The sequence below is a fragment of the Homo sapiens genome, chromosome 5, assembly GCF_000001405.40.
Source record: "Homo sapiens chromosome 5, GRCh38.p14 Primary Assembly".
Classification (NCBI taxonomy): domain Eukaryota; kingdom Metazoa; phylum Chordata; class Mammalia; order Primates; family Hominidae; genus Homo; species Homo sapiens.
In genome coordinates, this window is record NC_000005.10 from 113,682,514 (window position 1) to 113,697,143 (window position 14,630).

Sequence of the window (14,630 nt, forward strand, 5' to 3'; positions counted from 1 at the left end):
TAAGTTCCTTTAGTTGTCATCCAGTAGGGGCCAACGTTCTGTGAAAGAATTAGAAAGTATCACAAGGCATTAATTTAAAACTTCAGTCTTCTCTGAAGTGAAGAACAGCTCACACAGATTAAGTACCATGCGTCTTGTACTGATCGTTGTAATTACTACAAATAAATGAGAGAGGGAGCTCACACCAAAGTTTGATCCAAAGTAAAAAGGATTCCATGTTGACTTAGTGTATTGGTTCTCTATGCTGAAATTACCATAACTTAGTGGCTGAAAACAACACACATTTCTCACCTCATAATTATCACGGGTGAGGAGATGGCACAGCATGGATTAGCTGGCCAGGCCCTGTGGCTGCCAGCAAGGGGTCAGGCAGGTTGCATTCTCAGCTGGAGGCCCAACTGTGAAGGATCTTTGTCCACACTCATTCAGATTGTCGGCAGAATTCATTTCCTTGAGGTTGAATGACTGAGGATCCCCAGTCTTACCGGCTGTCAGCTAGAGACTGCCCTTGGGTTCTAGAGACCACCTGCAGTTCCCTGCCATATGACCCTCTCCAGAGCCCGTTCCCAGGAAGGCAGTTTGCTTCTTGAGGATCAGAAAGAGAATCTCTCTCCTACCTGCTGAGATAAAGTCTCATACAGTGTAGCGTAATTGTGAGGGTGACATTCCATCACAGGTCTCACCCATACTCAAAGGGAGTGGATTTCATAAAGGCATTAACACTAAGACATGGGAATTATTGGGAGTCACCCTTGAGTCTGTTTGTTACACTCAGGCAGCAGAAAATGGAGCACCCTTTATGTTCTTTCCTAGTCCCCTATTTGCCCCCTAAGCTGTATTTTAGAGTAGCCCTCTTTTCCCAGCATGTATTCTCCTTCAAGACCTGGGATGTTTACTGAAAGGCCGATCACTTGTGCTCCCAGCATGACCTCAGACAATGAAGTTCTTCAGGCTGAGGTGGTCTCTTTGCAGCTCCCTGAGATGTCCTCGTTCCCTCAGCACATGCTGCAATCTCCAGCCCCCTGGTCTGACAGAATTGGGTCTACTTTAGGTTCTTTGCTGCTAAAGCTCTGGGTTTATTAAAAAATAAAGGTTTGAGAATTATCTATTATGGTTATTCTCTCTGAGTATTAGGCTAAATAGTTTTATTTTTTAAAGTTTCATTGTTATATTTGTGATCTCATGAGTTATTACCTTTGAATCAATAATAACATGTTATGTCTAGCAAAGCACGTTTAGATATATTAATAATATGAGATATTAATACAGTACATATATTTTCTTATCATAAATATAAAATATTACCTATAAGAAATCCTATGCCTGAACTCTTCTTATCTAATTAGAGTTACTAGACTCTTCATTGCTAATGTAGGGAGTAGGATGATGTTACCTTAGTATCAAAGAAAAATTACAGTAATAGAAGTAGTGAACAGCAAGGTGGAGTTTTGTAGCTAGACAGGATCACTGATGAATAAACACTAAATCTTCTACTTCCCCTTGCCTCCCCTGTTCTCAGATTTTTCTCATGGGTAACATCCATGAAACATGTTCACTTCTATTCAGTCCTTGGGAAAGTGGGAGAGAGTTTTGTACTCAATGATCTCAGAAATCTTTGGACAAAAATGTGACTCCATTTATTATGTAGTGTGATATTAACTACATATTAAATAACTATATTTTGCTGGGCACAGTGGCTCATGCCTGTAATACCAGCACTCTGGAAGGCTGAGGAGTGATTGAGGCCAAGAGTTTGAGACCATGCTAGACAACATAGTGAGGCCTTGTCTCTAAAAACAAATGTTGGTACTCAATATCTTTTAAAAACAAGGTTGGAGACCACCATTTTGGATTAGAGAGAGAGGGTTCGTAATTGCTTTCTTGTAACATCTCTACAAAATACTTCCACTCTCTTGATAAATCAACTAATTATAAAACTGAATTAAAAAATTAAAGAAAAATATAACACTGATTTAAGGAAATTAATCTTTTTTTAACAGTGACTATATCATTTCTATACTATGAAAAATTAAATGTTATTAATAAAGACATTAACCTATCAAAAGATATATGGGGGCTATTTAGAGAAAACAAGTAGGAAAAAAAGTCATATTATGAAGTAAAATTCATTGGGGAAGAATACTAGACTGTTTTTCTCAACACCCGTGAGAATCATAAATCCATGGAAACTGAGGAGTCTCATTTTTCTTTGGCAAAAAAGAACCGTGTGAAGCTTTACCAGGGGTATGAATTTGCATTTATAAAAAGCTATAAAAATTTTAGTAAAGCCCTGTTTTTAATTATTTCACCATTGCATGGGTTTCATTGTACTGTGGGTCTACTCTGTACCCAGAGAGAGCATATTATTAGGTAGTTACCCAAAAACATACTCAGGATTCAACTATTCTAATAAGTAGATAAGCTTTTAAAAAGGTTTGTTAAGCACTGCCAAATAGTGCCATATAGAAATATGCATGGTTTTTCTCCATGGCCTCATAATTCAAAGCATCATGGTATTTATCCTATCTTTGGTTGTTGAAATACAAAACTGGACATATATGCATGTTGCTTTTGTAGGAATGTTTAGTTTAACCTTTTAAGGTTTTACAGGCTTGATGTGGACTTTAGAGGTAAGGATTTTTTGAGGCAGAGATTTCCTGTGTCCAGGAGAGGGGAGATTCAGAAAGGCGGTCAGCAGGCTGTCCCTGATGGGCAGGAAGATGGCTCTTCCAGGTGTCTGGAACCACACTGGGAAGGCACAGCATCCAGAATACTTGTATGACCCAGGGCAGTGTTTCTCAAATTAAGCCGCCTTCAGCATCATCGGGAAGCCTTGTTTGAGATTGCTGTTCCCATTCCCAGTTCCTGATTCAGTAGATCTGGCTGTGAGTCTGAAATTTTGCATTTCTAACAAGTTCCCAGATGATGCTGATACAGCTGTTTGAAGACCACACTTGAAAAACATTAACCTAGTGGGCCAGTCATCACTTGGCTTGATTAGGAGCTGGCTGTTTGCAGAGAGAACAGGATGCAAGGAAAGGTGGAGGGAGCACCTAATATGAAGGTGAAGACCTCAAGTCTTGATGCAAAATGCTTTTAAGGAAGCCTATGGATGACACTGACTTTGGGGACGATCACTCTTCCCCCCTCCATGTACACTGGCAAGAAAACAAAAACAAGTACAGTATTGCTCTCTAGGGGAAGGAGTTGTCTTTATGACCAGGGTCACAGGCTTTGAAGTCAGCTGAGACTTGAATCTGAGTTCCTGCTATACCTGGCATGTTCAGAGTGAGCCATTTAACCTCTTAAGTCACAATAGCGTCTTAGTGGGCTAATGCCACAGAGTGGGTTCTCAAAAATGACAGTGTCATCATCATCCTTTTCCATTTAGGGAAGCCCCCAATGAGTGTAACTCCCTCTCCCCATCCCTGCTTTAATTTTCCCTTTAGCATGATCTACTATTCTGGTATTTTTCTGATTTGATTTTGTGTGATTCTCTCATTAGAAGCTGAGCCTCAGGAAGAAAGAAATTTTTATCTTTTCTTCACTGTCATGTGCCAATGGCTAGAACAATACCTGAAACGTAATAGTACTAGATCAGTACTTATTGAATGAATGAACACTGTGAGCTTGTTATAGTCTCTAGTAAATTCACTATTTACCTAAAAGAACTAAAATCTATTTTTTGGTTGTAATTATTGACGCTGGAGATACCTATCATTATGAAGTGTTTTTAGTAGTTTTAGTTACCTTTAAAGTGTTTCCATTCACATACAGGAATTACTTTTAAAATTTCATGTAGTTAAGTTATCAGCTAAGAATGTTCCTTATTAACTAAGATTTTGATGACATACAAACATGAAACAGCTTTATGTCATTTCTCTGTTTTTCTTTTTTGCCATCAACCATTAACTGTCGAATATTTCCCATCTCAACAATATTTTGATGAATCACATTGCATTGTGGACATTTTTGGGTATGAAATTCCAGTCTCACTTAATTTAATAAGTTTGAAAGGTCAGCCTCATGTCCAATGGAGAAAGAACTCTTCTCACCAAGCTTGGCCTAGGACCCACAGAACCTGCCTTGGTGAGGGAACTGCATTGGTGGGAGCCTGTCTTGCTACTTTTCTTTTTTGGCATCTTCTTTTTTTACCTCTAGTGTGCTAGGGTATGGGAGGAATAATGGGGGAAGGGACAAATGCCGCCTACCTAAGAAAAGTCCTGTGTTTCTTCCTTGGCTGGCCACATGCTCTGTATGGCAGGCATCTAATGACAGTTCTCTCATTGTCCACTGGGCAGCCCTCTGGCCACCCAGCTTAAACCTGGGTAATTTCCGTGGTGTCCACTTGGCCCAGGGAGATGCACCTAAGGGTGGGAGGGCAGGACTACTATGTTGCTTCCCTTTCTTCAGGCAGCCGCCACCCCACACTTAATTCCCTTTTACTCTCTGCTCAAAGCAGGCACAGGAGCAGGTTCACAAACTCGCCCACACACAGAGTCCCCCTGCCGAATGGATGCCAGTCTTCTTGCAGTTACTGCTAATTTCTTTGAGCATGTGACACTTGGCTTTGGGATAGGAAAATAGCCCCATCCCTGCAGGGAAGAAGAAAAGCCATAGGATTTCACCTTGTCAGTGTCTCTTAATGAGAGAGCTAATGGAAATTAGAGTGAGATCAGGTTTTGCTGTGCAGGGCTCTCCCTTAAGTTGCAGGATATTTAGCATCCCTGGATCCTGCCCATTAGATGCTAATTGCACCCCCAACGCCTCCCCACGTTTTCAACCTCCACTCAGCCTGAGAACCATTGGTAGGCCAACAACTCAATAACACATTGGAATTCTAGAACTTCTAATCTATCGCTTATGCAGGCTGAAGGGAGTAATGGGTGATAGCTGCATAACTGATAAGTTCCACAGAGATATGTCTGGCAGTTCTCTTTAGAATGTGGAGGATCTTAGCACCTATTATCCTCAGCTTTGGGTTTTAGTAGAAATTCTGAGACAAGGGAAAAAGAGTCCTTCAACATCCTATTACAGGCTGAAAGCAACATGTCTCCATATTACAGTGTAAGATTTGTAATGTTTGCAGATTTCTTTATGTAGCTAGTTTCTTCCTGGTATGTAGGTTCCAGTCAGCCTCAGTCGGAAAAGCTGCCCCATTCCTATCTCCTTCATTCAAGTTCTTGTGGGGGACCCCCAGTCTTCAGAGCAGCATAGCTTTTATTCATCTCCTATAAATACAAATCCTATCCAAATAATCATAGCTATTTTTATGATGTCTGTATTTCTACAGCATCATAAAAAGAAAATGTTTTGTATTTGATTGAACCATGAAATGACCATTTTTATAGGTTAAAATCATTGAATATTGGCAATTTTATGTAATTCAATCTAAATATGTTAGTGGACTTCATACCTAATTTAAATGTAAGCAAAAAGCTTTAGCATAAAGCAGTATCAGTGATTGAAAATGATAAGACATTTATGAGAGAGAGAGAGACTCAGATTTCCTCCCCATTTAGCATGAATCAGTTTGAAATGAAGAACATGGAGGAGAGAAAGGGAGCTAATCTCTCAAGTATGCATCATGTTCTGCCATTTATAGAATGCCTTCACATGCATCATTTCATTTGCTTTTTTGTTGAGACGGAGTCTCATTCCGTTGCCCAGTCTGGAGTGCAATGGTGCGGTCTTGGCTCACTGCAACCTCCTTCTCCCGGGTTCAAGCAATTCCCCTGCCTGAGCCTCCCGAGTAGCTGGGACTACAGGCACATGCCACAACACCCAGTTAATTTTTGTATTTTTAGTAGAGACGGGGTTTCACTGTATTGGCCAGGCTGGTCTCGAACTTCTGACCTCATGATCCGCCCACTACGGCCTTCCAAAGTGCTGGGAATTTTTTTTTTTTTTTTTTTTTGAGATGGAGTCTCGCTCTGTTGCCCAGGCTGGAGTGTAGTGGCGTGATCTTAGCTCACTGCAGCCTCCACTTCCTGGGTTCAAGCAATTCTACTGCCTCAGCCTCCTGAGTAGCTGGGATTACAGGCACATGCCACCATGCCTGGCTGAATTTTTGTATTTTTAGTACAGATGGGGTTTCACCATGTTGGTCAGGCTGGTCTCAAAACGCCTGACCTCAGTTGATCTGCCTGCCTTGGCCTCCCAAAGTGCTGGGATTACAGGCATGAGCCACCACACCTGGCCTCATTTGCTCTTTATGCCACCCTAAAACCCATCTCACAGAAGAATATTGTGTTCCTTTAGGGGCACAATCGAAAATGAACAGTTTCTACACATGTATAAATATCTAGTCTCTTAATGAAATTTTCAGTTTTAGAAAAGCCATTTTGCTAATATTCAGGACAGTTCCTCAAATTTAGTCTGTAGTTAGGCTAAATATTTAAAATGCCCAAATAATTAAGAAATACCTTGCTGTGATAGTAGCATTATATAAATTACATTTAGTCATATTGTGGGTTGTGGTTAATGATTTCTACGTGTCCTAGAATGTGTGCTTAGATGAAATGTCTTTCCTGACTACCCGCAGCTCACAGACCCAGTGGAGATTTAATGTCAGTTTCCTTATGAAAGCAGGCTTGAAATGGCGAGGGAAGAGGATACTGATGTTGGAGAAGGGAGTATGGTTCAGGGATATCATAATACATTTCTTAGGCTTTATGACTTTTGGGAAAGGTTATTATAATGGAGTCGAGCTTTTAGCATTGTTTTGCACAAAAAAGAGAGTCTTTTGTCGGTGAGAATAAAAAGGAGAAGCAGTTAATGAAAAAAAATCCTCAGATCTTCTATTTGTCGGTATTTACAAACAAGAAGGTCTACCTACTTACCTAGTGCATGCCAAACTATGGAATTCCATTCAGTGATTTTTCAAGAAAGGAGGCTCTTTCCTAGAGTGAACTTAACCTTTGTGTCTATCTATATGGATTTGGAGGATATGCCCTAGTGAATAGTAGGCCTTTTAATTTGCATGCTACTTAATATGTTCACTGTAATTGTTTTAGCTGCGTCTTTCTTCTCCCAGAGGGAAAAAGTCATGAGAATCTTAATGCTGTGTCCTTTACTGTCCTCTTCTTGGAAGATGTCATGATGTCATGTTGATCAGTTTGCTATGAATTCCCTCTGTTTGCTCTCAGTGGTCATTTTTGCTGACCCTCCTTATTGGCTTCCCCAGAGGAGCAGTCCCAAATCTCTGCAACTCTCCCTCATCCTCACTCTGTCCTAGTCTCTCAGCAGATGACTCCTAAAAGTCCTGGAAAATGTTGGGGGAGTAGAGGTCAAGGGACGTTGGGCTAATTCCAGCCAGGCATTTATGTTTATAACAACTTACAAGAAACAAAAGCATTACATTCAGTCATATACCCCTTGGGGTACATCTGTCTTTTGGATGTGACATGAGATAATTAATGTGTAAATAATAATTAGAATGCTTGGTACAGAGCAAGCAGTTAATAACTGCTGGTTTCTATCTTTCTTTAATAACCTTTTGACCAGTAAAGATGGTTCAGAAAATATTATGTAATTCATTTTCAGCAATTATGATCTAATGAGTTATGATGACCTGATGTCCTTGCTTCATTTGGTGGCTCACGTAGTATAGCCAAAATATGAGTGTGAGATGGCTCTAAACCAAAGACAATACTTCAAATGACTCCTGCTGTCAAGCCACTTGGATGGAAGCATCTTTTTCAGCTGTGCCCCAACTTGGATTAATTTTTTATAATATAGGCCACATGATCTCAATTTTAGTGGCAGGGATACATCTTGTTGAAGCTCCCTAGCAACTAGCTAATGTTTGCAGCTTCTCCAAGCTATTGTCTCAATTTTGCTGCTGCTGTGGTTGCCACTCGCTTATCTGGACTGACTGGTGACCAACATAGTCCCCAGCTCTCTTCTGAATTCCACCAAATAATCATGATAGCTGGCTGGGTGCGCTGGCTCAAGCCTGTAATCCCAGCACTTTGGGAGGCTGAGGTGGGTGGATCACAAGGTCAGGATTTCGAGACCAGCCTGGCCAACATAGTGAAACCCCATCTCTACTAAAAATACAAACGACTAGCTGGGCATGGTGGCAGGCACTTGTAATCCCAGTGACAGGAGGCTGAGGCAGGAGAATCACTTGAACCTGGGAGGTGGAGGTTGCAGTGAGTCAAGATCGTGCCACTGCACTCCAGCCTGGGTGACAGAACAAGACTCTGTCTCAAAAAAAAACAAACAAACAAACAAAAAAAAACATGATAGCCTCCCAACTTGGTGTAATGTTAATGTGTGTCCTATTGTGCATGCTGGGACCATTTTCAGTGAGAGATTTATGTGGCACTGACTCAGCAAAGACTGACTTTTGTGATAAAATGAACTAATATTTATTTAGTGCTTTGCAGGTTAAAATTACTTCTCATTTATTGTCTCATTTCATCCTTACGTTAACCCAGTGAAGTAGATCCAGCAAATGTTTTTATCTTTTTTTTACCCATAAGATTAAAGAATATCGTTTGAGAATATTCTTACACTTTAATTTTTTTTTTTCCTGCAGGTGAAATGTCCAGCTGTTAAGTGAATTGGTATGGTATGGTGGCTAGTTCCAAATGAAATGGCTAAGCTTCACCCCTTTGAACACTCAACTTCTCAGGTAATACTTTGGAGGTATAACTGCATGTAGTTGGGATGTTGTAATGGTATGAGTGTTTTATGTATTGATGCTTTGTGCTTTGAACCGGTTTCTTCCAACAAGCTGTTGTGTTGCCTGCCCTTGGAATAATGCAGTTTCTTCATGAATAAGTCACATTAAACATGCACAGGAATTTTTTTTAGCAACATCAACTGTGATATTATTATAATCTTAAAGGAGGAGTGGCAATTTGTGAACAACAACTTTGGCAAAAGGCCTTGTGAAAAATTGAGAATCACTTGTTTATTATTGTTCTTTTAAATCCTCTCAAGTCTCTGCCAAAAAGAGACTTAAATATTTGTTGCATCCAGTAAATATCTGTTGAATAAATGAGTGAATGAATTATAGAAGGCAGCATTATAGATTGATTGATACACCACAGTTGAAATGGACAACAGTGTATCCTGTGCATTGACTAAACTGGACCATTGACCAATTCTTGAATGTTTCCAGCACCTTCCCACCCCATGCTTTTGGTCACTCCATTTCTTTAATCTGTAATGTCCTTTCCATCTCTGTGTATCAAAATTCTACCCAGCCATTGGACTAGATCAAAAGCTATTTTTTTCTCCATTTCTCCTGAAGCCTTTGTGGCTTTTTCCATTGCCAGAGCTGGAAATGACTATATCTCAAAAAGTTCCCATTGCTCATGTCTTTTTTGGTACTTAGTATATTTTCCTTGGAGAGCACATACATTATTATTTCCTGGTAAAGCATATGCATTATATATTTCTCTTTAGAATGTAAGTTCTCAAAGAACAGACTGTACTGTATTCATCTTTGCAACACACACACACACACACACACACACACACACACACACACACACGTATTTTAGCAGGGTGTTACATCTGCTAATTTCTCAACCTATTTTGTTGAATTAATTAGGTTATAGGGATTTAACTATTCTTTCTATATTGTAATACCTATAGTTAAAATTCTTATCCTTCATAAAATTTTTCAAAAAGGTGCTGACAAATAGGAAAAACATTGAAATTTGATTTTCTTTGACAATTTAAAGCCTCTGATAGAAATACAAACAACTAGTAGAATGGACAAGGCCTTGAGAGAATTAAGTTTTTAAAAGACACAGAGCAGATAAACTTGTTTTGATTAGTTAGGGATGAACAGAATCACTACGAGAATCATTGATACTTACTCTAAAAATCTAGTGAGCTAATATAGCATTTTTCTTCAGAGGAGGGCAAAATGTTAATTTTTTGAAGTTTTCTGCTTTGGAATTGAGCACGTGTCTCTTCAGTAGTGTCCAGATTTTTTCATAACGTTGCAAATCAAAACAACGATGTCAAAACAATCCTAGAATTATTTCTAGACCCAGTAATGGAACTGACAATAAGTATCAGGGGTTTGCCTGGGTTGGGGGTGGGGCCAGTGTGGAATGCGTTATTTCTCCCTTACTGTCATTCCAGGCAGTTGCCAATTTGGGCTGATTATTTATAGATGACTCTGCAGTGTGACAGGCAGTTCTCCAAGTGAAGCCTCAGGCAGTGAGGTCCTGAGGAAATAGGAAAGACCTGCACATTCCATAGAGCAATGGGGAAGGAACTGCGGGGCAGCCAGAAGCAGTCTTCCCCCAGAGCCCCCTCCTTGTTTTTTCCTTTTAACACAAATGTTCCCGGGGGGTTGCAAAACACTGATTCCTTTTAAAAGGTGTTATAGTAAATTCCCTAGTGGAAGCCTCCTTCCCTACAGAGACAAGCATTAGAGCCCTCAGAAATCTGGGTTACTGACTTGGAAACCAAATAATTGGGGATAAATGAATGGACGAGAGTAAAGAGGCTCCACATAAAAGGAATCCCTTCCGACAGCATCTTTCATGCTGGGGGACATTAGGATGCCAATAGACGCAGCCCATGGGTTTGGGTTGCCAGGTAACCAGGGTACCCGCAGATTTCCATTTTTACTTTATTTCCGATTCAGGAAAGCCTCGTTTCATACAGAGGAAGGGAAGAACACCTCTCCCCCACCCCGCTTATTTAGGTCTAACTAATAACATTCACCTGTTGGTAGCTAAAATGTTTCAGAGGACGCAGTTGTTTTTAAACATTTAAGCTGTTAGAAAATCAACAGGAAACATCGGGATGAAAACGGGAGGGTGGTAACGTAAAGGGCAGCGGTGTTCCTGCTTGGTATTCAGGCAGCCAGTGGAAAAACCCCACGCGTCCCCCCTGGGGTTTCTCAGTTGGCCTGAGCGCATTAATCCTGCTTCAACAATTCAAGCTCTTCTGCCTCCTTGCTGTGAATTTCCTTGCCTCTAGAAAACATTCATGACATACTGAGGAGACTCACCCCATTTGCTTGCTTTTGTTTCTTTAAAAGCTTATTGGTAACCCATTCTTTTCTAATAAAAATAATCAGCCTTTTATGTGTAATTTTGCAATGCAATAAAACCAAACAGAACATTCTCCACTCCAATCCTGTCAAGCAATATGGGGCTAAGTAGTTTTCTTCCCGTTTGATAGAAAAGCAGCCGAATTGAAGAACATCTGAAATTCAATGGAACAAAGGCTAAATAAGCCTGCAGCCCAACATGTGGTTAGAAATGATCTGTTTGGATAGTGTTTATGTCTCTTGAAAATATAGCTGGGTGTGTAAGTGTGTGAGTGTGTGTGTACTGTTGGTGTTTTGTCGTGTTTATCCATCTGGACCCTGGACAGGAAGCTTGCCAAATTGTCCCTTTAGTGCGGCAATGTGCCCTTTAGTGTGGCAATCGGGTTGAGGCTGAGCTGTTTAAGGCTTATCAGCCACAACACTAATATTTTTCTTCTAAGGCAGATAAAAGTCTAGGAAGACTTACTGGGAAGTTTCCACAATTCTGGGTGTTGAGTATGAGTGGTGCTGGAAAGACAGATCTTCAATCTGCAGTCTTTTCACACTGCCGGCCTAGGAAGTTTTTGTCTTTAAAATCTGTCATTTTTCCAAGCTCTTACGAATGAAGGCCAAAGCAAAATGAGCCTTGGTCTGGCTGACAACTGTCATTAGCACTTTGAATAATTAACCCCTGACAGATCAATGAGATGATTTTCCATCAGAAAAACTTGGACATTTAAAAGATTGAACTAAAATGAGCAGAGTACAATAGTTTAGTGCAATTCCTAAAGTTGCTAATAATCTATAAAAGTAATTTTGGTTGAATTAGTAAAGCCTGCTAGCAGACTATTAACCCTAGTGTTTGCATGTTTTCAGATGCCTTTAGTTGCTGAGTCTTCAATGTTAGAGATGCTGTTTGGGTTAGTTATACATTACTCAAGGGAAACCAACAGTGCATATTCATGGTCTCAAATTACAGTACATTATAAAATGTTATTTCTTCCCTAACATTTCTATACAGTTGAAATCTGGGCAAGATGAGCATCAAGGGTAATGCTGAAGGGAAAAAGATGCCACACAAAAAAGCAAAAAAAAGTTCTGAAATGGTATTTGGGCAGGGCTGGCTGCATTCCATAGTCTTCTAGGAGAAGGAGAGGAAAAGAAAATAATTGTGGTTATTTTTATGTGTTTATGTGTATTTGCATACATATACATATTTGTTTGCAGGCATAAATATGAATATGTAAGCACATGTACAAACCTCATTTTTAGCGTGAAGGAATACCACTACATTCTCCTCCAGTTCTCTTTCATAGTTTGGATGCCACTGAATCTAGGCAACTGGAGTCACCCCAGTTGGTCCTACTGCAGGAATGTGTGTCTGTGGAATAGTCAGGAAGAGTAGGAGATGTACTTTTCGGCATGTAGCATATCCTCAATAAAGGTGTGATTTTTCTGAATTATGAGTGAGAAGGGAGGGGTGGGGAGAAGAGAAGCAGGAGAGCCAAAGCATAAGCTACTGTTCTGATAAAAAGTGAAAATATTGGCCCACAGGGAGTGAAAATGCTGGAACTAGGATTTGCAGATCCAGAGACTAAAACGTGACTTTAAATCAGACTGACTGCATCTGCCCATTTTGATGGTGAAGACCCCGTGGGAAAGACTTTTTGATAAATGAACAGGCATTAGTCTTATGACATTTCTCCAACATCCTGCAGTCATCTTGATGGCCACACCTCACTTTTCTTTACTGTCTGCTACTCCTTTGCTTCACTAAAAGCAGAAAAGGTGAATAATTTTCATTCCAAGGTGAGTTCAATTTAAAGTCTCTCCTCTCCTTTTTGAGCTCCAATCAGCAGGGAAATGATTTTATTTAGAATAATTATTAGAAGAATTATTCATAATTCTTCAGAAAGCCAATTTCATAGCATGTAAATGTTGAGTGCAGGCTGTCAGATCCAGTTATGCTGTGACTCCCAAGGATCCTTTCAAGGTTGTGTCCAGTAGCAGGATTTATGTCACAGGACGTTTTTGTCTTATTTATATGTATTACATTGTTTATGCTGCTAAGTTGCAAAAATGGTATTTACTTTCTAGTGATTTACAGTATCTTGCCCTTTTAAAGCAAGCTCTGGTTTTGGTGTAATGTGAGGTTTTGTTTAGGAATAAAATCATGTGGCCTGGAAGAAGTAAAGATGTCTACAGTACTTTGATTTGGTTTACTGTCATGTCTGGTTTCCTCAGCAGGCTCTTGGTCAAAGTATGCATGGGGTGGTGGATGGAAGCTGAAGAAAAGTGATAATGGAATGTAATTTGTCCTTGTTTCCCAATGACTTGGATGGATGTCAGCAAGTTCTTTCCTAATGGAAAAAAGATGGCTGAACCATCAAGCTTTTAGGAGTGCTTTAAATCATTGATCTGTTCTTCCTAAGAAATTATGTCCCACAGGTGCCTACAAATGGGGAGGAAACAATGGGGGGCAACTTACCACTTATCTCCTCTATTCACATGCTCACAGAGAGGGCAATTTGCGAATCAGTTCTATGTGTGCTCTTGAATAGATAGGATTGGGTCATACCCCTCATGAGTATTCAGGAGGGAATTGGAGGAGAGTTTGAGAGCCTATATCTTAGGAAGTTTAAAATGTTTCAAAAAAAATCACAAAATTGTTGCATCAGAAATTACCACTTTCAGCTGGACATGGTGGCTTGTGCCTGTAATCCCAGTGCTTTGGGAGGCCAAGATGGGCAGATCACCAGGTCAGGAGTTCAAGACCAGCCTGGCCAACATGGTGAAATCCCATCTCTACTAAACATACAAAAATTAGCCAGGCATGGTGATGGGCATCTGTAATCCCAGTTACTCGGGAGGCTGAGGCAGGAGAATTGCTTGAACCTGGGAGGTGGACGTTGCAGTGAGCTGAGATTGTGCCATTGCTCTCTAGCCTGGGCAACAAGAACAAAACTTCATCTCAAAAAAAAAAAAAAAAAAAAAACAACCCAGAAATGACCACCTTGAAAATTGTCTGTGAGGTATCAGAGAAAGTATTATGGCCTTTCCTGCTTAGAGGCACAAGAAACTGTGGAAACCAATGTATATGGCTGCTGAGCTTCAAAGAAAATTGCTGTCAATAAGTGCCATGTGCATCAATTATGAAATCATAACATGTCTGAAGTGGAAGAGACCTTTCGAATCATTTAACCTAGCTCTTTCATTCTACTCTTGAGGAAATTTAAATCTTATGCCAATTGGGGTAAATTTGTTTTCCACTTCTTATAAATCTGGTTCAATTACAGGAAATGAGAGCACATACTTTAAGTGCCTTTCAGCATCTGAGTGTAGCTTCTCAGATTGTTGAAAGTAGAAAGGAATGTGGCGGATCTCTTTCTAGAGATTCAGTGCACGAAATATTTCTTTGCAAGAGTTATTGGTCAATTGTAAACTAATTAATCAGTGTTTCCCATAGATCCTTAGTATTTCTTCATCCACTTCACTTCCCTCAAAAGAAAAAAAAGGAGGGTCTATATTATAGTTTTTTTTATGCTTAGAATAGGAAAGTATCAATTTTTAATAAAAATAATATTATATTTTATCAAAAATTGTTTTTTTGTCTCATGAC

The 14,630-nt window shown here is 39.9% G+C and overlaps 1 long non-coding RNA gene across 1 annotated transcript in view, besides 1 other annotated feature; it reads left to right on the forward strand.

Annotated features, from left to right (window-relative positions):
• Positions 1-12,814, forward strand: part of LOC107986441 (uncharacterized) — a 62,022-nt gene extending 49,208 nt beyond the window's left edge. The window contains exons 2-3 of the long non-coding RNA XR_001742841.1: positions 8,546-8,641; positions 12,566-12,814. This is a non-coding gene — a long non-coding RNA (uncharacterized LOC107986441). The remainder of the gene's footprint in view (positions 1-8,545; positions 8,642-12,565) is intronic.
• Positions 45-592: an enhancer, noted in NCBI's record as "NANOG hESC enhancer chr5:113018255-113018802 (GRCh37/hg19 assembly coordinates)". NCBI's record gives its function as "activates a minimal SCP1, AML or CMV promoter by ChIP-STARR-seq in primed H9 embryonic stem cells {active_cell/tissue: H9 hESC(primed)}" and the evidence as "EXISTENCE:reporter gene assay evidence [ECO:0000049][PMID:30033119]".
• Positions 12,815-14,630: the final 1,816 nt, after the last annotated feature.